This window comes from Homo sapiens, chromosome 5 (genome assembly GCF_000001405.40).
Source record: "Homo sapiens chromosome 5, GRCh38.p14 Primary Assembly".
NCBI classification, from domain to species: Eukaryota; Metazoa; Chordata; class Mammalia; order Primates; family Hominidae; genus Homo; species Homo sapiens.
Window position 1 is genome coordinate 122,315,115 of NC_000005.10, and position 23,090 is coordinate 122,338,204.

The window sequence follows — 23,090 nt, forward strand, 5'->3', positions numbered from 1 at the left end:
TTGCCACTATAGCTTATGATTCTGGTGGTCAGCAATTTGAGCTGGGCTCAGTGAGATGGTTCTTCTGCTATTCTTAGTTAGGTTCCCTCAGACGTTTTCAGTCTGCTGGTGGTATAATTGTGAATGGCTTTACTTATATGTCTGGCAGTTATCAGACTGTTGGCCAGGGTAACATAACGAGTGGCTGGGATGTACCTCCCATTCTCCAGCACACTCCCCTTGGCTTCTTTACATGGCAAATCAAATAGTGTTGTAAGAGCAGTAAAAGAACAACCTGCAATGCAAAAGCAACTTTAAAACCTCACCTTGAATCACATTAGCTACTCTCCCATTAGCCATGTCAAGTCAGAAGGTTACCCCAGATTCAAGGGGTATAGAAAGAGTCCACTTATGATGAGAAGGAGCTGCAAAAAATTAGAGCCAGTTTTTGTGATCTACTACATTTTTGAGGATACTTGTGTCTAGCAGATGTTTTCTGCTGAAAATAATATGTTAGGAGAGCATATTGGAGCCTGCTTAGCAATAGCCCAGGATTTAGGTTAAGTAATTGTCCAGTAAATCATTGTCCTGCAATTTTTTTTCTATAAACCCCAGGTAGAGGAAGTATGACACAATGATAATAAAATTTTAGTCATATCCTTCTGACAGTGGTGTTGGGATGGTTTGGAGACAGGAGGCTGGTGGCAGGGTGAGCTGAGCATTGTTGAAAGTTGATGTTTTTGAGAAAAATGGAGGCAGGAAAATTGGAAAGGGGTCGATCTGGGAGATCCCATATTTAGGATGAGGTGACTGATTATAGGGGGTTAGTAAAAGTAAAAAGTCGAAAGCATTCTGAGATTTAAAAATACTTAAGTGACTAAAAGAATGATTGTGCTTTTGTAAGAAATAGAAAAATCAATAAGGGATTTATTTGGGGGAGGAGAAAAATTCAGTTCCAGAAATGTTGATTAAAAGAGATAAATTGAATGTCAAAGTACTTTATAAGCTGCAGAGTAGGCTATGAATGTTAGCTATTGTTTAGTGTTTAAATCACAGTGCACTATTGTATATAGTTAAGTTTCTTTATGTGTATATCAACAGAAAACAAAATACAACCTCAGGGATTCCCTAAGATGTCAAAGGGAAGTCAGAACCACTACTCTCAGGATGGAAGGTCTACTCTTAGAATGCTCTTCCCTTAAACTAAGCATACCAGGCAAGAGAACACCTTTGACTTAATTTGAGTGGCATCCACACTCCTGAGCCAGTAGCACTGACTGACAGCCACACCAGGTCAGCACACAATGCAAAGTGGGTGGGTTCACCCTTAAAGGACACTGGAGCACTGCTGTCAGAAGTGGAGATGGAAATAGGGTGACAAGACCAACAAATGCTCACCACAGATGAACACTTGAAGATTTATTTCGGCCTAGACGTGGGGAAGCAAGAGGTAAGAAGGCAGGAGGTGACAACTTAGGCATATGTCCATAGAGTGTAGATGCATGAATAATAGTTGAACCCATGCTTGTGGTGGAGTTTTCTCGTGGAAAATAAAGAAAAGACGGTCTGGCACAATGCCTCATCCAGACTCCTTCATTAACGTTAATGGATGTTTAATAGAAGGGAGAAGAATTCTAAACATGTTCTGTTCTGCCTTTCACCTAAAAGCTCATGCAAGGTGCTGTTTCTTCAGCCTCATTTTATGGCCAGACTGAAATTCAGGTGGTGCCCTTACCGCAAAGTGCAGCTGCTGGGCCAGACAGAAACACCTGGCCTCTCCAGCTTCACACAATTAGTCTGAACAGCATACACAGCTGCTCTTTATGGAACGACCTTGGATGGACCAGCTCAAACCAAAGAATACGTTTTTATCATTTTTATTGCACAAGTCTAAAACCCCTGAAGACACTCAATAAATGTTAATTGAACGAGTGGATGTGCCATTATCTCGTGCAGTAACGTTTTTTTAAAATGATCTGGTCTGGCTTTTCATTATAAGTGTAGAGTTTGCTATAAAGTCCCTAAGTGCCTTTTGTAGACTTAAATGTTTTAAGGTACTCTTGTCACAGTAATGTAGGTTTTTTAAATCCACCACTCATAAAAATAAACTATTTTTCCTTTATTGAGACACAGTTGTCTTTCATCCTTGTGTTTGTCAGGACACTTGGTTGCAAATCACAGAAACCCAGTTTATACTTGCTCAAGTAGGAAAGGGCATATACTGGCTACTGTAAAGGAAAAGTTCAGAAAGAATCCAATTCTGATTTCTTCTTTTCTTCATGGTGGCAAAATTTTCATCTGCAGCTTTAGGCTTAACTCCTGAGAAAAAGAGAATTCAGGATTAACTTTAATTAGACCACTTTGATCACATGCATATGCTTGAACCAGACCCTATGGCCGGAGATTTGGACCATGCCACTTGACTCAGCTTTGATTATGAGCCCAGTCCTGGAGGCTTTTGGAAGGGGAGAGTGGTATGTGTGACGGCAGGTGGGAAGGAGTGTATGGGAGTGAAGGAAGTACATGGGAGACTAGTCAGCAAAACTCTTCTAAACCATATAACCTGAGAGCAGGGAAGGGGTAGTTTTTAAAAGGAAATATTGAAAAGAAGAGATAGGAGATGCTGTGCGTGCAGAAACAGCAGATATCTATTAAATACTATAACACCTGTTTTCCCTGACAGGCATATCATCCTCTCACTACACCTCCAAGCCAGAGACCTGGGAATGATCTCGATCTGACCTTCTCCCTTTCTTCCTCCACCTAATCAGTCACCAAGACCTCCTGCTCCACTTCCTTTCATGTTTCACTCTTCCCAAGTCACCTCTACAAATGCTGCCTTCAGTCTCTCAGCTTTCAATCCATCCTCCTCACCGCTGCCTGCTTGCTCTTTCTAAAGAATAGATAAAATTGAATTATATAACTCCCTGCTAAGAACCATTCCAAACCTTGTCATAGTCCTGGAGAAAAGTACAGGCTCCTACCATGAATTCCAAGATTCTCTCTGAGGTGAGTCCTGCCTCCTCCTGTGGGTGCAGGGGATGGGTAGGTGCTGGTATGTTCAGCAACGCCTTCTTCTAGCTGCCCATATTATCCCCATGCTTAAATGCTTCATTGCATGTGCTTTTACATGGGCTGTTGTCTCTGTGGAATATTGTTTCTTCTTTCTCAAACTATGAACTATTAAACATTTACTTATCCTTCCAAACTCATCTCAAGTGTTGCTTTTTCAAGAAGCCCCTGCTGAACATCCCCTCCCAGCCTCTCCCCACATCACACTTTATCCTGTGGTACGTATGGCGTTGGATATACATGTGTGTCTCCCTCTGTAGACTAAATGTCTTGAGAGCTGGACTTACTTCCTTATCTTTGCACATCCTGTGCTCAGTACAGTGCCTTGCCCACCATGTATCTCAAAAATTTTTAAATAAATGAGAGAAAAATGTGTGTTGAATCATTCATCTTTCATTTTTTCAGGTGACTTTCTTTAGGTATATTCTATTTCCTTTAAATTGATTTTCACATTTGCCTCTTAGGATACTGGGACATGAAGACAGATTCTCTTTGAAGCTGCTGCTCAGACACTTTTTCAACAGTTTTCTCAATGGTTTATATACTTACTTATTACTTGGTCACTAATAACAACCTTAAGGAGGAGGCTGGAAAATATCAGTGACCCAGAGTAAATCTCCAGGCTAAAATCTATGGGTCAGAGACCAGATAAGGAATCCTTTTCCCCCTATCATCAGAGAGGATATTTAATAATTAATATTTATGAGGCACTCTGTTTTGAGTACTTAAAAGATGCCTTACAATTACTTTCTTATTTAGTTCTCACAGCAGCCCTAGGTAGGAGGCGTCACTGTTATCATCTTTTTTTTTTTTTTTTTTTTTTAACAGATGAGGAAACAAAGATTTAGAGATTTGAAGCAGTTTGTCTGCCACTAAGCTCCTTCCTCCTGGCGACTGCCAAGTGGCCAGACACTCACCTGAGTTGTTGAGGAGTAGAATAAAGCTTTGATTGGGCTCTTCCCATTCATCTGTTATTTTTTGTTGTTGTTGTTTTTATTCTAAGATGAGTAACCATCATCTTGAGAATAAAACATTATAGCTGCCTTCTTTGGTCATCAATCCTATAAAAAAAAAAACTATGGAAAAAGGTGTATTTAAAGAGGTAAGGGCTCCAGTACTATTGTTGAAATTAAGATCAGTTTCTTACTTATAAATTCCAGTCATCTTCCTGTGATACTGCTGCTGCCAGAAAATAAAAGCGTCTTATGGAAGGAAGTTGTACTGCTGCATATAAAATGCAGGCCTCTTGAGGAGGCACAGAAAAGCTTGGTTTTGAGAGTCATTCACAGAGCTATTCCATAGATAAATAGAAGGAGCTAAACACTTTGGAAGCCACAGAAACTCAATAGTTCTTAAACTGTTTTCAGTCTGAGAGTCTTAAGAGCATCATATGAAAGCTATGGATTCTTTCCTTGAAGAGAAAAGATGTCCACACATACCCCGCTTTGTATTTAATTTTAGGGATTTCAAGGATCCATTGAATCTCGTCTGTGGATTTCCTGGGACTCCTTGGACTCCAGGTTAAAAAATCTGTTTTAAAAGCTGATGCAGAAGGAAGATATTAGCCATTGTTGAATGTTTACTGTGTTTGACATGTAACCATTTATTCAGTGTTTACCGGATGCCAGCCCTTTTTGAAAGGTACATTATAGCTAAGCCATGCATTATGAGTCCAGTTTTAAGCCATGGAGGAGAACGAGGTTCAGAGAGGGAACTCACAGTCTCCCACTGGGAAAGTACTGAGAATAGAATTAAACACAGAACCCAGGTTTGTATCACCACTACTTCATGCTGCTTCCGCACTCATTCATGCAACCAAATGAAGCTTAAGACTTGTGCCACTGAAATTTGGATCCTCTGTTGGTCCTGACTTCCCTCAGCCTTCAGCTTCTCTTGTTAAAAGTAAGTTAAGTGGCTGCTTCTGCCACAAGAGCTTCCTGGAATGTGTCCAGTGCAAGAGCAGTCAAGGGCTGGGAAGGTCTCACCTCACTCTCCTCCTTCACCTGTGACAATGTTTTCACAGTGGGACAGATAACATCATTAGAGTGACAGCACTACTGGTTTGATCATCTCTAGGTAAGTTTCTACTTCTTACTCATTTCCGAGTACAGTTTGCACACTTGGAAACTTTAACTTAACAGATGCTCAACAGCAAAAATGACTGCAAATTCTCCATGTGACCCCTCTTCCACAGTATTTATTGAGGCCTGTATTCTGGGCTCTGTCCTCTAAGTTGCGGTCACAGCAGTGAGCAGACAGATGTGGGTCCTGAGCTCATGGTATTTATAGCTAGCTTATATCTAGCTAGGAAGGGGGCTAATAAATAATCGAAATAAAGCGTGGTAAGTGTTATGAAAAAGGAAGTATCAAGAATTTATTCTATTCAAGTTTCTTCATTCTTTTCAGCTTAAAAACTCTGATCACAAAACATTGTATGTTTCTCCAGCCCTTTCTTCCCCCAGGATGTTTAGAGTGCTTCAGGTTTCCGAAAACTTAGTTGACAGAGTCAGGGGGATATGCAGGCCAAGCAGTTAATCTCAGTCCCCGCTTTGCAGATGAGAAGGCAACAGTGACCAAATGACTTAACCACAGATGGAGTGAAGACAGGGGTAACTGCTTGGTCTGGTCCCCAGTAGAGCATTGCTCACTATAAACCACAAGCTGCTTCTAATTTATTTGAGATGTTATTATCGTGGCCTTTATATTCTGGTCTCTCTTGCTGCAAATGAGTCCGGCAGGCAAGCACAACTCAGAAAGCAAATTCACCTTCTTTGTAGCCCTTGATGGGTCGGTCCCCCTGTTGTCTCTTTCTCATTCCATAGGCATTTCCCCCACTCACCCTCTTGCCCTGAGACCGCCTCCCCAGATTTTCTCCTGAAGCATTGTCTTGTGACTGCACCAACCTACACTGGCAGATAGAAATGTAATAGGATCCATGAATGGGAGCCATGCAGGCAATTTCATATTTTATAGCAGGCGCGCTTAAAAAAGTAAAAGGGAACAGGTGACATCAATTTTAATAATATATCTTACCCAATATAGCCAAAATGGTAGCATTTCCATATGTAATCCATATAAAAAATCATTAACCAAGTACCTTACATTCTTTTTTTCCCATATTACATCTTTGAAATTTGGTGTATGTTTTTTACTTACCTCAATTCAGAATGGCCACATTCCAATGTGGCCACAGGTGGCTGGTGACCCCTGCAGTGGACTTCAGGCTTGGACTCTGAGGAGACCCTGGGATGCCTAAGACAGACTTAGTGACCACCTCCTCAGCCTCCCTCGACACTTAGCTCAGATCTTTATTGCTGCTCCAATAGAAGGTTCACAAGGTTGTTTTCTCAAACCTGGGTTCTTGAGGGAAGGGAATATGTCTTTGTCATCTTTCTATCTCTCATGTAGAGTGCAGTGTTTAGAAAGCCCACCATTGGCAGTGGGTACATGGTGAATCATTAATGAACAAAGGAGGGATAACTGTAACTCCAGGAGTTGAAGGGCTTGGTATATGGAGGCTTACCTGTCCAACCCCTGCTCCCTGGCTCTGTTCCCCCATCGCAGGGGCTCCTGTTTCAATCTCCCATCTTTGTCCAGTGCTGCAGAACCACATTGGAGTCAGATTGAATGGACAGGAGGCATCTCCAGTCACACATCTAGGCTTCTAACCTAGAATTGTATTGAGACTGTATACACCTTGTTTAGTTTTTGTTTCACCTCTTTTAATACCAAATACTAGAAGAACTTATAAGCAGTCTAGTATGTGAAATCATAAGTCTTATTCAACAACATGGAAAAAAAAAACAAAAAAACAGGACAGACCAAACACAAAAACAAAAACTCGTCCAGTGAACAAGCCTCCTGTTGAGATTGCAAACAAGGCCAACTGACATATATAGAACATTAAATATACAAGAGAAGAGTAGCCTGCATCAGGGAGCTGTTAGAGTCATCACGATGAACTTTCTGTTTCCAGTGGTTTTAGAGTCATCACTACTCCCTCTGAGAGAACTGGAGATTTATATCCTATGTCAATTTGCCTTTGCACATGCAGTATTTAAATTTTGCAAGTGCTTCTAACCAACTAATGTGCATGTTAGCTTATCTACTTTACCCCCAAAGATAAGTGTCACTTCAAATAATTCATATAACCCAACCTAAAAGATTGGTACTTCCATAAAACCATACTAACCACATATTCAAATAAATTCAAAGTTTGAAAATGGAGGGAAATATGTTTGATCTGTTAAGTCATATAAACATTTTTAAAAGGGATTTTTATCTCAGAAAACAGCACGGTTACCTCAGGCCCACTTAAAGAGTACATTGGACTGGAAAGTTGAATAAGGTCTAACCTCAGTTTTACCATTGATTACCAGTTTCAACCTGGAGAGCTCATTGACCTGCTTTGAGTTTTTGTTTCTGAGTGCATACAGGAAAAATAAATCCTGCTGTCACACACTATGTTTTAGGAGGATGAATGAAGTCTAGAAAATGTTTTAAACAATTCCTCAAAAAAGATATTTGGAACAGTTTGAGGGTGAGGTAGCTTGCCAATAATTCCACAAAGTAAAATCTTAAAAATAATAGCATACATTCTATAGCAGATAACTAAACATTAGCCATGTTTAAGTAATTTGATGATCTTGTCTTTACTAAGACAAGGACACTTCAAAATAGAATTTTGCATCTGTTGGCTACAGTTTTGGGAATGCTGCTTTCATTTGGGATTCTTAAAAAAGAATTCGTGCCTCTTTGCAACTAAAATATATTTCTTCAAAGATGACAGCTCTGGTGTTCTGTGTTGGTGTAATTGAAAACCTATAAAAAGGCTGAGAGCTACTTTTGAATTGGCTCAGTGAACTTGGACTGGATTTGTCGAAGTGGTGAAAGGTTTAAAAGAATTTTCATAAATGAGGTCTCCAAGCTGTGTTTTAACCATAGAATTCCAATGAACTCCAAGGCCCATGAACTCGGGCAACAGCGCCTCAGAGAAGAGCAGTCATATCAAGATGAAAATAAGTGATTCATTTTCATTCCCCACGTTCTGCAGACATAAGCACACTTAGCCACTGATAATCATAATTTAGCAGTACTGTTGTGCACTAAAAATACAATTTAAAAGTCTAATCTTTAATTAAGTTGAGTACTCACAGATTAACGTGGTTACAAATCTTGGGCACTGGATGTAGTACAGTGTTTACTCCTGTTGCTAGGAAATACAGCAGAGCTATTTGAAAGTTACAGATTGATTTGGTGAGAAGGATGTGAGCCTCTCCCAGCAACAGACTTGCTCATTGCTTCTCTCTTATGTAATGTATGTAAATGCATTTCATGCCGTGGAAGTCCTGTGCATTCAAAGCTTTTGTTGCCAATGGAAGCACAGGTGTGTGCACCTAAGTCAACGTTCAGAGGATATTTGAAAAAGTGGTCTTACCTAGAACTCCTGGATAAAATAAGCATCACGATGTGTGAGTATTTGAGTTTTCAGTGAAATGAAGTTTTCTATTTGTTAGAGTTACCACGAAAATAGAGTGTTCTTTAAAATCTAATTATCGTGAGGCTAATTGATGGCTTTGCATTCCTGCCATTAGTGGGAAGCTGTCAAATTAGTACAGAAATTCGATCCAGGTTGATGGTTTTCCAAAATTATTAAAATGTGCATGTAGGAAACCAACTCTGCTTTACTTTTCTTTCTCCTCCCCCCTCCAATCCCCTCCCTGCTTTGGCAAACCTTGTTGCGTGACACATCGTACAACCGTTTTTAAAAATGCAAAGATGATTCTTACACAGCATGAAAGGGAGTAGCTACATGTCAGTTCACTTGCCTTGTCCCTGAATAAGATGAAAGATTGCTATGTGCTATTTTAGTCAGGACCAGGTGTGAAAGAGTGGCCTCCCCAAGCTCAAAAACAGGACTAAGAAAAAACCCACAGGGAAAAATTTCTATTTGATCTATTTGAGGCAGGCCCTTCCACAAAGGGACTGGTATTTCAAAGCAGGGTCCTTCCTAAGAGATGAAAAAAATAGCAGAATACTTAATTGTCTCAAGGAACAAAATCAGGAGTAGGATGACTTGTGCTGATTGTGAAATTATATCCTACATCCAAGCTTAGAACAACCTGGATAGAATTAGGGAAGGGTCCTGCTGGGGACCAGGATCACCACTCTACTCCAGCATGCGTGCTCATGACCTCTCAGTAATTAACACACTTTTACTTGCCCTGTGGATAATTATTGACTAATTCCTATAGAAAGCCAGTTGTTGATTTTGGTATGAATTGTTTTCTCAATGTATACGAGTATCTTTCACAGTGTCTGGTATGTATTGTATGATCAGTATATGTCTGTGGAATAAATGAATCCTTCAACATGTCTAACAAGTAAATGTGTTCCTAATATAAGTTTTAAGGCTTATTCCATTGCAGCTAATAGAGGTTAGGGGCTTGTTTCACAAAAGATATCTTGTTACCTGTTATTTACACTCAGAACATCCATCTGAGGCAAGGTGCTGTCAAACAAGTAGGCAAAATGCCATGTGATGGAAGGTTTCACTGCTCAGCCACTAGTAGTAATTGGTGATGGAATTATAAGATGTTTAAGACCCACCATTACAGAACATTTGATTCTAGAAGGGAATTTGGAGCTTTGACAATAATGAGATGGAAAAGTAAGATAAAACTGGCACATGGATTACAAGTTTCTTAAGGGTATTCTAGTCATTCCCCCTATCTCCCAAAACACCTGACAGCATAGAAATAACATGGGATCGAGGTGGTGGAAAGGAGGCAGAATAACATAATAACTGATTATGAGCATGGGCTTGAACCTCAGAACAAGGCCTGGCTCAGCGGCTTACTGTGTGTGATTTGGAACAGCGTATTGAACCCCTCAGTATTTTGATATGGTTTCTTCCCTTTTTTTTATCAACAAATATCTATTGATTATCTCATTTCTTCAAGGCAAGTTTGGGACACTTGGGATAAAATAAGACTAGTGGATTATCAGATCCATTCTCCCTTTCTCCACCTGCTCTGTGTGATAAGATGGCTGGCCAGCCTTATGGAATCCAATCAGCAGGCTCCCTTGTTCTCTGGCTTCCGGTTGGGTTTGGCCAATGGGGTGGATCAGCAAAAGATTAACAAACAGGTAGGGAGGGAGAGGTTTGGGTATTTTATTCCCTGGGCTCCCATCTTACCAGATCACCTCTCCCTACTACAAGGCACATGTGCTTACAGGCAGCTGTCTCCCTATGGCTGTTCTCTGGGTCCTAGTAACTGTGCCCTCCCCAAGCAACTTTAAGCTGATAACTGCTCCCTTTTAGTCTTACTAGCTCAGAGTACTACATCATTGCTTGCAGTTTCTCTAAACCTTGGCCACAGCTTTGCAAATGCCCTTTTTACTAAACAACTCTCAAATTGCATTTGAGTATGCCATCTATTTTCTTTGGGGAACCTGACTGACACAGTGATTACCTGTCTCAGAGGACACTGTAAGAATGGCAGGATTTATCAGGAATTTAGTATAACTATTAGCTCTTACTATGCATTCAACAAAGGATTATTGTCATCATTAGCTTTTTTATTTTTTTACAAAGTATTCGCAATATTTTTGCATTCTTCAATTTTTTTTGAGTGAGAAGAAATCTATTACCTTGCAAGTGTTAAAGATGGGGAAAAATGAAACAGAGGTCAAGGGCTAAGGTCACACAGTGCTTCAGTGGCAGAACTAAAAAGTGAAGTGAGGGTTTCCTATCTTGTTTCTGTGCACGTCGTACACAGTTACAATATGTCTGGAAGAGAAAGTTGCAGCTTCAAAGTTAAGTAAATTAAAACATAACCTAATTGGGATAATTGGGTATGCTTAAACTAATAAACTCTATTTGTGACCACTGAATAATAATTGGGGTGAAATATTGACAGCTCAGCATCTTCAACTTAATTACTGTAAGGGCTGAGGCTAAGCATTTTCACATTTATATCCTCCTGGTAGTTTCAAGACAGATGATCCTTAGGAATGAATTTCTTGTAGGCTCTTGAGGGTAGATCTGTTTATAAGCAACACTGAATAGGAGACCAGCATTCTAATGCTTGTGTAGTAGGTTTTTCTACTCATACACATTTGTCTGACTTCTCTCTTAGAGCTCTCATTCATAAGCCACATAAAGTAGGTCACTCTGTGATATTTAGAGTCATCTCATCTGTAACTTATAGTACACTCATTAACCTGTTTTTCAAGAATGAAAACTAACAAATTCCCTAAAGAAGTAGTGGTCATCTTGAAAAACAAAACATACTACTACAACTTCTTTCCATTTGATAATAAATTTGTCATAGTTATTGAAATTTCAAACCTCATGAGTGTATCTTTCACTGCCTTGGAAAAATTGTCCAAGTATTCTCTTATAGAATAGAGAGAAAGGGAACTTCAGAAATGTCTCCTTTTTTTTTTTTTTTTTTTTTTTTTTTTTTTTTACAATTAAGTAGAGTCAAGGGAGGAATAGCAATTTGCAAGGTCTTTTGATGTCAGCCCAAATAAGGATTTATAGATTGTCCCTTCTGTGTAAGGAGCTGAGTAGACAAAAACAAATATCTTGTTGCCAGAAGAGCTCATGCTTCTAGAAGGAATTATTTTCATTTAAACATTTGGGTCTCCCTCTCACTTTTATAAACATCTTATTTAAGGCCAGCTCCAGGTGGAAGTCCTGCCTTCTGTCTTTATAAAGAAAATGCTTTCATAGAGTGGACACTTAACATATATAAACTTTCTCAACTATGTATGTATGTATGTATGTATGTATGTATGTATTGCCTTTGAATTATCCTTTCTGGAGGAGATACTAGATCAAAGTACCGTAATGATCTCCCAGTTGATCCAAGTGAAATCTCCTTTTGTTTGTTCCAGACCTCTACTTCTGTTTAGATTTCATTTCTTTTTATTTTTTGCCTCAAGTGAAATAAAGTCCAATTTTTATTGAGAGGAACTAGTGTATTCCTAGTCATTACTATTCTAAATGATTTCACTGTTTTCACCACATCAGTTGTGTTGACATGAGTACCAGTAATGTGGTAATAAAGTTCCTAATGGATCATACTGGAAATATCACGTTATACCCAAGAACCTTCCTTGGCTGCTTGCCAAACAGAAGTAGGCATAGGTTCTTTAGAGTAATTGATGATGTTTGCAGATGGAGGACACATTATTTCGGGCAGTCATTCTATAAATATGCTCTGGTACTGTATGGTTTGGCTCTGTGTCCCCTCCCAAATCTCATCTTGAATTATAATCCCTACATGTCAATGGAGGGACCTGGTAGGAGGTGACTGGATCACAGGGGCAGTATCCCCCATGTTGTTCTCATAATAGTGAGGGAGTCCACACGAAATCTGGTGGTTTAAAAGTGGCAGTTGCCCCTGAGCTCTTTCTCTCTCCTGTCACCTTGTGAAGAAGGTACTTGCTTCCCCTTTGCCTTCCACCATGATTATAAGTTTCCTGAGGCCTTCCCAGTCATGTGGAACTGTGAGTCAATTAAACCTCTTCCCTTTATAAAGTACCCAGTCTCAGATAGTTCTTACAGCAGTGTGAAAACGGACTTATATAGGTACATTTCTTTGTGTGTATGCAGTCTTTTTCTTCTAGCTAATTTCTGTCTGGTGGAGAAGAAACATTTGTATGTCAGTAGTGGAGTCATGTGCCAAGTGCTATAGTCAGAAGGAGAGAGGGAACTATGATCTCCATGTGAAATGGGGAGGAAGATGGTTAGATTTTCAAAGGCATCACAGGAAAAGTCTCATGTGATTTAGGGTTAAAGGCCAAGTGGGTATTCACTAGGCAGAAAATTTAGGGGACAGTGTTGGGATTAGACAGAACTTGGGAAACTAGATATAAGTATTTTGATGTGACTTCACAGTAAAATGTATAGTACAGAGTATCAGAAGATAATGTTAAAAGGATAGTTTGAGCCAAGTCTTGATCTGTTTCCCATTGCAGTAAGAGAAAGCTTATATATCTTTTTCAATGAATGTGATTAATAAATAATCCTACATAGATTATGTCACTCATTCTCAAGGTTTATACTATCACCTGTGTTGGTGACTTCCAAATTTGTATTTCTAGTCCTGGGCTAGAGATCCTCTTTGTCTTCTGGCCATCAGCATTTTGATGTTTATCAGCTCTTGCAAAGTCTGCACCCGCAAAGTAAACTCATTACCTTCCCTTCAAAATCTTGGCTCTGTCCAAATTTCCTAGTTTGGTGAATAGCCCCAGCTTTCAAAAAATTATCCATAAATACTCCCTTCTCTTGAACCCTCTCAATATTTTCCAATATCTAAACACTCAACAATTCTTGGCTTACTTATTTGTTAAATTGTTCTGAATATTATTGTCTCCTTTCCATCCCCATTTCTTGTAGTATCTTTTTTTTGGATTGTCATTATTTTCTCTTTCAATTACTGCAGCAACATCTTAACTGAATTCTACACCTTTCTGATCAGTTCTTGCTCCGTTAACACATTGATCTTTCTCAAATTGATCACATCAGTGATTTTGCTAGTAAATTTTTCGTAAGTCCTTGCTTGCTTTAGTATAAAATCCTAAAACACTTAGCATGACATTTAAGCCCTTATGATTTGAGCCTTGCCCACTTGTCCAGCTTCATGGGACCCATGGCCAGTCCCTTACCCTTTTCTAGCCTTATTGAATAACTTGAAGATTCCTAAAATTTCCAAAGTTTGTTAGTCTTCTGGGTATTTTCCTGTTCCTGTTCCTGTTTCCATGCTTCTTACCCTGTCAACTCATTTCTCTTAACCTCTGCCGTTACTCAAGTTGGGGTAAAGTGTTTCCACAATTGTATGGTGATAAATTATTTACTCTTCTCTGTCTCAACTAGACTGCAGGCTCCTCAATGCCAGGCACCATGTTTCATTCATGTCTGCCACATTTTCAATGCTTAGCTTCATGTCTGGCACAGAATTATAGCAAAAATAATAGTGTTTACTGAGCACTTATTGTATACCAGACAAGGTGCTAATTTGTTTACATACATTATTTCCTTTAAAGGAGAAGAAATCAATCTATGCTTTGGAAAGGTAATGTGGCAAAAAAAAAAAAAAAAAGATTTGAGTACAAGATTTATTACAGGGAGTTCAATCAGGATTATTTCAGGAAAACAAATGAGAATTAAAAAGAGGTTAATTATTCATAATACTCCCTCTCTTGAACCTCCCGGTGTCTCCCAATATCGAAACACTCAAAAAGCCTTGCCTTATTTAGTTGTTAAATTGTTCTCAATTTATGGTCTCCTTTCTATCCCCATTTCCAGTAGGGTAGGGGAAATAGAAATCAAGTGAAGAAAATTTATGATAGTAATTCATAAAGGTATTGAATGGACAGATAGATAAATGAAAAGACAGCCCAGCATATGTTTGTTAGAACTCACTGAGGAGCTTACTTTAACTTACAAATCTGAATAACTTTGGTGCAAAAAGCTTATTAAGATTAGAGGAGCAGAAACAGCTTATGTGTCCAAAAGCAGATATATCATGAGAGAGTAAAATAACATGGCTTTTAAAAATAGATATTTAAAATTATAAAGGTACATACAAATTATTAAGTTAGATTCAAAAGCAGTTTTCAAGTAAATATGGAAATATGTATCTTAGAATTACTCTCATCAAAATGGAACTTCAAGTGGAGCCATCATAAGCTTAGGAGTTGTCAATGGAGACTAACGGTTAAAAGTGTGGACCCTGGGATTAGAGCACCTGATTTGAAGTCTAGCTCACTCATTTGCTAGCTATAAGATGGGGGCAAATTGCTTGACCTCCAAAATGGAAATGCCTTCTTTGTTTTAAGGATTAAATGAAAAAACAGAAGCATGTGCCACTATAACAGTGTGGGATATAGCAAGCACTTGATGAAGTATGGGCTTACCTCCGTGTACAACTTCATTTCTTTTTTTTTTTTTTTTTTTTTTGAGACGGAGTCTCACTCTGTCGCCCAGGCTGGAGTGCAGTGGCGGGATCTCGGCTCACTGCAAGCTCCGCCTCCCGGGTTCACGCCATTGTCCTGCCTCAGCCTCCCAAGTAGCTGGGACTACAGGCGCCCGCCACTACGCCCGGCTAATTTTTTGTATTTTTAGTAGAGACGGGGTTTCACCGTTTTAGCCGGGATGGTCTCGAGCTCCTGACCTCGTGATCCGCCTGCCTCGGCCTCCCAAAGTGCTGGGATTACAGGCGTGAGCCACCGCGCCCGGCCTCATTTCTTAACAATAGTGAGAAAGTGAGCAGTTACAGCATTTGTATTTCAACTTATATTTTCACCTGGCTTTCATATCTTGTAGATGTGTTATAACAGAAAATTTGCCTAGTTTTATATGAAAAATACAATTTGCATACTAAAATTTACTTAAAGGAACTTTGCATTGTGAGGGTACAGTCTAAGTGCCTTTGGTTTTCCCATATGATTCATGAAAAAATTTACTGAGATGAACAAATGTTAGTAGTAAGCCATCATTTAATTCAGCAGTCCCTAACCTTTTTGGCACCAGGGACTGGTCTCATGGAAGACAATTTTTCCATAGTTGGGGGAGGGGATAGTTTCAGGATGATTCAAGCGCATTACGTTTATTGTACACTTTATTTCTATTATTATTACATTGTAATATATGATGAAATAATTGTACAACTCATCATAATGTAGAGTCAGTGGAAGCCCTGAGATTGTTTTCCTGCAACTAGATGGTCCCATTGGTGATGGTTGTGGAGGGGTTGATGGGAGACAGTGAGAGATCATCAGACATTAGATTCTCACAAGGAGCGCACAACCTAGATCCCTCACATGTGCAGTTCGCAATAGGATTCATGCTCCTATGAGAATCTAATGCCACTGCTGATCTGACGGGAGGTGGCGCTTGGGAAGTAATGCCAGCAGTGGGGAACAGGTGTAAACACAGAGGAAGCTTTGCTTGCTCACTGCTGTTCACCTTCTCCTGTGTAGCCTGGTTCCTAACAGGACTCGAACTGATATCAGTCCATGGCCCAGGGATTGGGGACCCCTGATTTAATGCACACAATTTATTAAAAATATGGTCCCTAGTTAATTCCTGTGTGACGTGAAATCTCAAGTTCATTGGGTTTTAAATGTTCATTAAGCAGTCCCTTTTACTATTCACTATTTTAGCTACTTAGTCAAACACCTTAACAGAAAGGCTCCTTAAAAATACACTGTTTCCCAGAAGTTCAGAAGATATAATTAGTCTCTACATATTTTCAATGTACAAATATTGTGTCCTTATGGAGAATTACTTAAGAAATAAAAAAATACATATTCACTGATTTAATGACCTTCCTAGTTTTTTCAGGCCACTGTGACAAAATACCATAATCTGGGTAGCTTGTAAATAACAGAAAATTATTTCTCACATTTGTTAGAGGCTGGGAAGTCCAAGATCAAGGCACCAGCAGATCTCATGTCAGGTGAGGGCCCACTTTCTAGTTCGTAGCTGCTGCCTTCTTCTGTGTCCTCACATGGTGGAAGGGGCAAGCCAGACTCAGCACATTTAATGTCTCCACTTAATCCCGTATCGTTCTCTGTAACTTCACTTTGCATTATTTTTTCATCATAGCACTTACCCTAACTTAACATGTCATGTTTATTTGTTTGCCTGTTGTCTATCTCCCCCACCAAAATATTAGACGATACATGAAAGACTTTCTTTTTGCTTACTGATATATTCATCAAACCTAGCACAGTGCCTGGCCCATAGCAGAAATTCAGTAAATATTTGTTGAATGAGTAAGTGTACAGATACAAGCCTGCACTTAATAAACAATCCTAAATAGGGAGTGCTGCCACGTGAATGTGTTTTTTTGTAAACAGTGTTGGCTGATTAGAATGTGATACTTGTTGACTGAAAACACATAAAAAACTTGCAAGATGCAAAGATGCATCAATAGGAAAATTTTAAATCATTCTCCAACTCCAGACAATGATTTAACATGTTGATGTGTTTTCTTTCTTTATGTATTTGATATCATAATGATGTGTCATCCTGGATATATTATTTTGTATCTTGCGTTTTCCCACTTAACAGTCGACCATCAGCATCTTTTTATATTTTTACAAAAATTTTTATAAAGACTTCTATTTACACATGGTGGAGTAAAGGTACATTTCTCCTTATCTCACTAAATAACAGAAATGAGGGGGAAAGAGGAGAAAATCCATGTGTAATGAAACAAGTCACTGGCAACAGCCCCAGAGCATATACCTTGAAGCATACCTGCCAAATCTGTAATGTTTGGATACAGGTGAAGGCGGGCATAAGATTATACTTATTTCCATGGACTTAGAGCAAAATATAATTTCCCTTGAATTAAGAGTACTGCCATGAAAGACATCTCCAGTGTTCCCTGAATTATATGACAAGACCTAGAGCTGTAGCTAAGCTGCGGGAGAAGTTGAGAGTGACTCTGCAAACATCCAAGTATCACCACTGAAAGGCAGACAGTGGCACTGGAAGGAAAACCATTCTGATGCCATTTTAATTTTCCTTTCCCTAGCCTGCTGGCTGAGGGATCTTGGTAAAAGTGAAGTGGGGAATGGAGGGAGAGCAGGCAGCAGTTGTGCTTAAGGGCTTTGCTGTGAGGCCCATTAGAACAAGCAATGGGAGAAGCAGGGGGCAGAAAAGAAAGGCTTTCTGAAAGAGCTGGCCAGGCTTTTAGGAAAATGCATTACTTATTTCAGACTCTGAGAACACACTAAGATGCTAAATAGTATTTGGTGAACTGAAAGGGTAAATACTTTCTTCCAAAGCTATTTGGTTGAGAGACATGGCCACTATGGAGAAAATAAGCCATTAAAATCAGAAATAAGAATGAAATAGCTGAGCTTGTACAAACTTTGTGTAGTTTACAGAAAGAGGTTAGCACAAAGATAGAAGCCATAAATCAAAGATTAAGCAATGTGGCACAAAAGGGCATGTGTTTCTGTAATTGTAAAATGAGCTTCCCAGCAAAAGGTGAAGCTGAGCTTTTCAAATTGCTGGAATGTCACTGCTTATTTATGAGCAAAGATAAAACTCATTTTTAGATAAATGACTAAATTGAAATACCATAATGCGTACCATTCAAGTGCTGTTATGGTTAAAAAATGTGACTATAAAAATGTCACATTATTACGGAACCTATTTGTTGGTTAGGTATTTTCCAAGTCCTGTCTCAGTTTATTGACTTCCGCTAGGTTTTACTACCGCCTGCCTTGCATAGCCAATGCACAGTAGCTATTGCAAAAGCAAGATCTAGTCCTTTGTACCTCACACAGCTCTGAAGAATCTCAGGAATTCTTTAAACCAGAGCTGATATTGTTGCTAATGCCATTAGATGAAATAAGAATGAAGGCACTTTGTTGGCGGAGACCGTATCTCATTTACAGAAAAGCAGTGGTCTCTTTCAAATTCAAGTTCATATCTAATTTGAAACTACATCTTATATTCTGATTGTTCTACCATTTCCCTTGAGTGCTTAAGCAATCATGGTATCTCTCTGCCAAATTAAGTCAAGACAGAGCTTACTATATGACTTATTAAAGAATCAGCACCAGGCTGTGAACAGCAGTAGTCCTGAGCAGGGGGTGGTTGTGTGCCTTAAAGATTATTAATTGCAATAGACTACCCATGCTAGTAAATTACCTTTTACGTGTTAACATGGTAAGGCCACAGTGGGCTGAATTGTTTGCAGATAGACGACAATAAGAAGCCAGAAATTGTGGGGAAATGGAATGTATACTGTGGTAAAGATGGGGGAGATGGAGGCTACAAGAAAGAAGAGATCAGCATAGAAGACTGAGTTTTGTGAAGAAGAGAGAGGTGAATCAAATCATGAGTCAAACAACAACATGAGAGGATGGTATGGCAGGCTTCAGTTCTCCAAAGAGGTTATAAGAAGAGGAACTCAAAGAAATGAAAATGGAATGGCAAACTAATAAAAACTAGCACTTACGTAGCATATACCAGGTGCGGGCACTGTTCTAAATGCTTTATTTATGTTAATTAATGTAAACAATGACCCTGTGAGGTCAGAATGATTTCACATCTCTACCATACAGATAAAGAAAAAAAAAAAAATGAAGCAAGTTTTCAAATGACTTGCCCAAGTCACACAGCCAGCAAGAGGCCTGGCTGAGATCTGAACCCTGGGAACCTCAGATTCAAGTTCGTACTTGGAGGCTTATACCATATTGCCTCTCTCAGATGTGAGTGACAATAAAATAGATGTTTTTTCAGAGTTTAACTTTTCATTATATGAAAAAATAAGCTGGAAGTCCAGCTGACCTATGTTTAAGGTCAACTGTTGACTAATTCATACTCAAGAGAGTTACAGCAGAGAGGTGACATGCCGTGCGACTAGCACAGGTTCTTGTCAGTGGACGTCAGGTGGTAACGTTGAGGGAAGGAAAACAGGGTGGATTAGAGAAAGCATTTTAACAGCAAAGCCTAGACTGGGAACTGTGGATTTATATTAGGAGAAATTTTTTTTTAAAGACCATTCTACAATTGAAAAATATCTTATTAGAAAATGTGCTAATTTTTTGCAACTTTGCAGTAGACCTAAGCTAAATAGAATGTAAATATTTCATTGTCACCATTATACATATAAATAAACCACTGATTTTGGATAAGTGTCCAGTAATTTGTGTATTATTCCTTCAATCTAGGCCTCTTGGGCAAAAGTTATATTGACCCTATAGGTGTGGATTTGGGGACTACAGGTTTCAGGAAATGTTACTGCATTGCCAGAGATATTACTAAATCTGTAGATTTAGCCGGGAGATATTCTAAAATGCAAGTGACAAATCACCTTTACTTTCAATAACTAACATAGTTGAAAGGGTGGGAGGAAGGCTTATAGGCAACTTAAATACACATTTTTAAGGATTTTTTTCCTCTTTCTTTTGATGACTAAAATATCTTATTTTAAAGAAAAATAAAATCTGACATTTTAGCGTTTATCTTTGGTGGAAATTGTTGTTAGGAGGAAAAACAGTTTTATAGAGAAGTTTGAGATGAACAATTGCCAAGGACTCGAAAGATAGGCTTTTTGTGTGTGTGACATATCTAAGGATTTGTCTTGACAGTGTCAAAATAACAGTTCAATTCTGTTAACCACTTGATTCACAAATAAGTCAAAACAATCATTGGGCTAAATTAAACTGCTTTTATTTTTTCTCAACTTTCTTAATCAAAAGTATATATTTGTAGTTGTACAGCAAGCAGATACACCAGCTCTTTTGAAAAGTGAAAGGTGTTCCAGTTATGACAGTAAAGGGAGCCTGACTGCCATAACTTTTAAAGCACACCAAAGTTTGGCAGAGGGTTTCTCTGCACTTTAACTGTTGTACATCAGGTTCTCCAGGAAACAGAATCTGTGCAGGAAGCTTAGTAGGGACTGCTGTTGGATTCAACACCTGTGGAAGGAAGGGAAGGAGTCAGAGCAGGCAAAAGGAGAAGTTGAGCTCTGACATAGTCTCACTTAAAGCCTCAGCCAACCCATGGAGAGCTCTGAAGCTAGGAGGGCTCTTCGGCATTGTACTGAGTTGGAGCAAGGGCACCTGGCCTGTATAACTCCATGCCATCCAGTTATTGAATGAATACAGGCTGCCCCAGGAAGGTGGCTCTTTCTAGCCCAGGGCAATTCGTATAGAAAGCTGAAAGCCAAGGGCCATCAGGCAACATCTTTCCCAGGAGCTGGGCGAATATGTCCTTAAGTCCTGTAAAAGAACCTGGCGATTCATGACAATGCCCTTTCTAGTAGCTGACTGAAATATTTTGAAATTTTAAGACAGAAAAGGAAATAATCAAGAATAATATCTGCATTTTATTATTAAGACTTAACTTATATAGTGTTATTACAGAGGGAGGCCTTCTTCTACAGACAAAATAAGACCAAAAGAAATTATTTAAATAAGCCTATTTTGCATAGAAGTAATATATTTAGCCAATACTGGTTATCAAGAGAGAGAGAGAGAGAAAGAGAGAGAGAGTGTGTAACAGATACACAGAATGAGACACTTTCAGTCTTATGTACTGTATTACGACCATAAAATATTTCTGTCATTTAATGTTTGTGGCTCTCTTGTATGGAAGGTACTATTGTCCAATTCTGCTAATAAATAGAATCAGAGGGGCTAGGGGACTTGTCCAAGATCATACAGCTGGTTACTGGTGTAGTCATGACTCTAACCTACATCTGCCCATATTAAAGCTCTTCTTCTTGTTCCTGTCCTTCATTGTTCTAGTCCCTGGACCATAGAGGTTTTCTATTTCAGTAGATAACTTTTTGTCCTCCCAGACCTCAGAAATTTGTCCTTTAAGCTAAGTGTTTATCTCCTTTGGCCCTTGTCACAGCCTTGGCTGGTAAAAAGGCAAGGTGTTTTCTTTTCATTGTTGTTGTTTCTGAGACAGGGTCTTGCTCTGTCACCCAGACTGGAGTGCAATGGTGCAATTATGGCTCTCTACAGCCTCAAACTTCTAGACTTCAGTGATCCTTCCACCTCAGCCTCCCAAGCAACTAGGACCCCAGGTGCATGCCACAACACCCAGATGATTTTTTTGTATTTTTTGCAGAGACAGGGTTTCACCATGTTGCCCAGGCTGGTCTCGAACTCCTGGACTCAAGCAGTCTGTCCATCTCAGCCTCCCAAAGTGCTGGGATTACAGGTGTGAGCCACCACACTGGCCAAGGCAAGTATTTTTATCTGCACTTTAGCGGGAATGTAGTGCTGATGACAGTGGCCTAGCATCTTATGAAAACAGGACTATTCCAGGATGGTTTCTGCCCTGTACTTCTGCCTCCATTTAGTCGATGAATTAACAGGTAAAAGAAATGATGCAAAATGTGGCAGGAGTCAGAGGTGAACTTGGGTCTACTGATTCCTAATCCCATGCTTGATTCCCCCTCCAATGGGATTAACATGGGAAAAGGGAAAATATGGATATATTGTAGGTATACTGCACATATATTGTGGGTGCAGAACAATGTCAACCTTTCAATGATCCTACGTAATAATCATTTTATTTATGATGAGGAGATTGTGGAACCAGTAGAAAGAAATGATTTGAGTGGCCATTAGGAAAAATGTAAGCATATACACTTCTAAGAATGTGACTTAAACAAATTTTGAAATGATTTTAAACTTCCTTTAAATGAGAATAACTTCCAAGGCCTTCTTGATTAGAATGCCTGAATGATGTGTCTCTTTTACCGAGAGAAATAGTTACCTGATTCCCCACAGTTGAATCACATGACAAGTGATGCAACTTCATTGCTCTGAGACAATCTGTTTCCTCTGTTTTTTAGGATTTTGTTTGTTTGTTTGTTTGTTTGTTTGTTTTTGAGGTGGAGTCTCGCCCTGTCACCCAGGCTGGAGTGCAGTGGTGCAATCTCAGCTCACTGCAACCTCTGCCTCCTGGGTTCAAGTGATTTTCCTGCCTCAGCCTCCCAAGAAGCTGGGACTGCAGGCATGCCGCCACCATGCCCTGCTAATTTTTGCATTTTTAGTAGAGGCAGGGCTTCGCCATGTTGGCCAGGCTGGTCTCAAACTCCTGACCTCAGGTGATGCGCCCACCTCGGCCTTCCAAAGTGCTAAGATTACCAGCATGAGCCCCTGCGCCCTGCCTCCTCTGGTTTATTTTTGACAGCACAACTGAAATAGAAAAGGTTCTCTTGTTACCTGGTTTATTTTAATAGGGTACTGCTTGTGTCAGAAAATTCGAGAGGACTTTAAGACATTTATCAGATATTTATATAATATTTCATCTTCCATAATATAAAAAGGAATAAGGAGAGTCATTGTAATATTTTGAGTCACATATATTCTTTGATACATTGAAGTAAATGACAATCTCAACCGGAAGTATTTTAAGTCTTTTCTCAAGCAACTATTACTTTATTCATGTCTTCAGTTTCAGCTCAAATCTTAATTTAATGGAAGATTTCACCAACGGTTAAATAGAACGGATACTTCTGCATGATTAATGCAGT

General features: G+C 39.3%; 1 protein-coding gene and 1 long non-coding RNA gene across 38 annotated transcripts in view; one reads left to right on the top strand and one right to left on the bottom strand.

Annotated features, from left to right (window-relative positions):
* The window catches only part of SNCAIP (synuclein alpha interacting protein), a 152,867-nt gene that overhangs the window by 3,762 nt on the left and 126,015 nt on the right, over positions 1-23,090 (top strand). The window lies entirely within an intron of this gene.
* SNCAIP-AS2 (SNCAIP antisense RNA 2) lies at positions 6,177-8,246 on the bottom strand. Its single transcript, NR_198973.1, has 2 exons — positions 8,206-8,246; positions 6,177-6,720 (listed from the first exon to the last, which is right to left on the bottom strand). It is a non-coding gene; the product is annotated as an SNCAIP antisense RNA 2 (long non-coding RNA).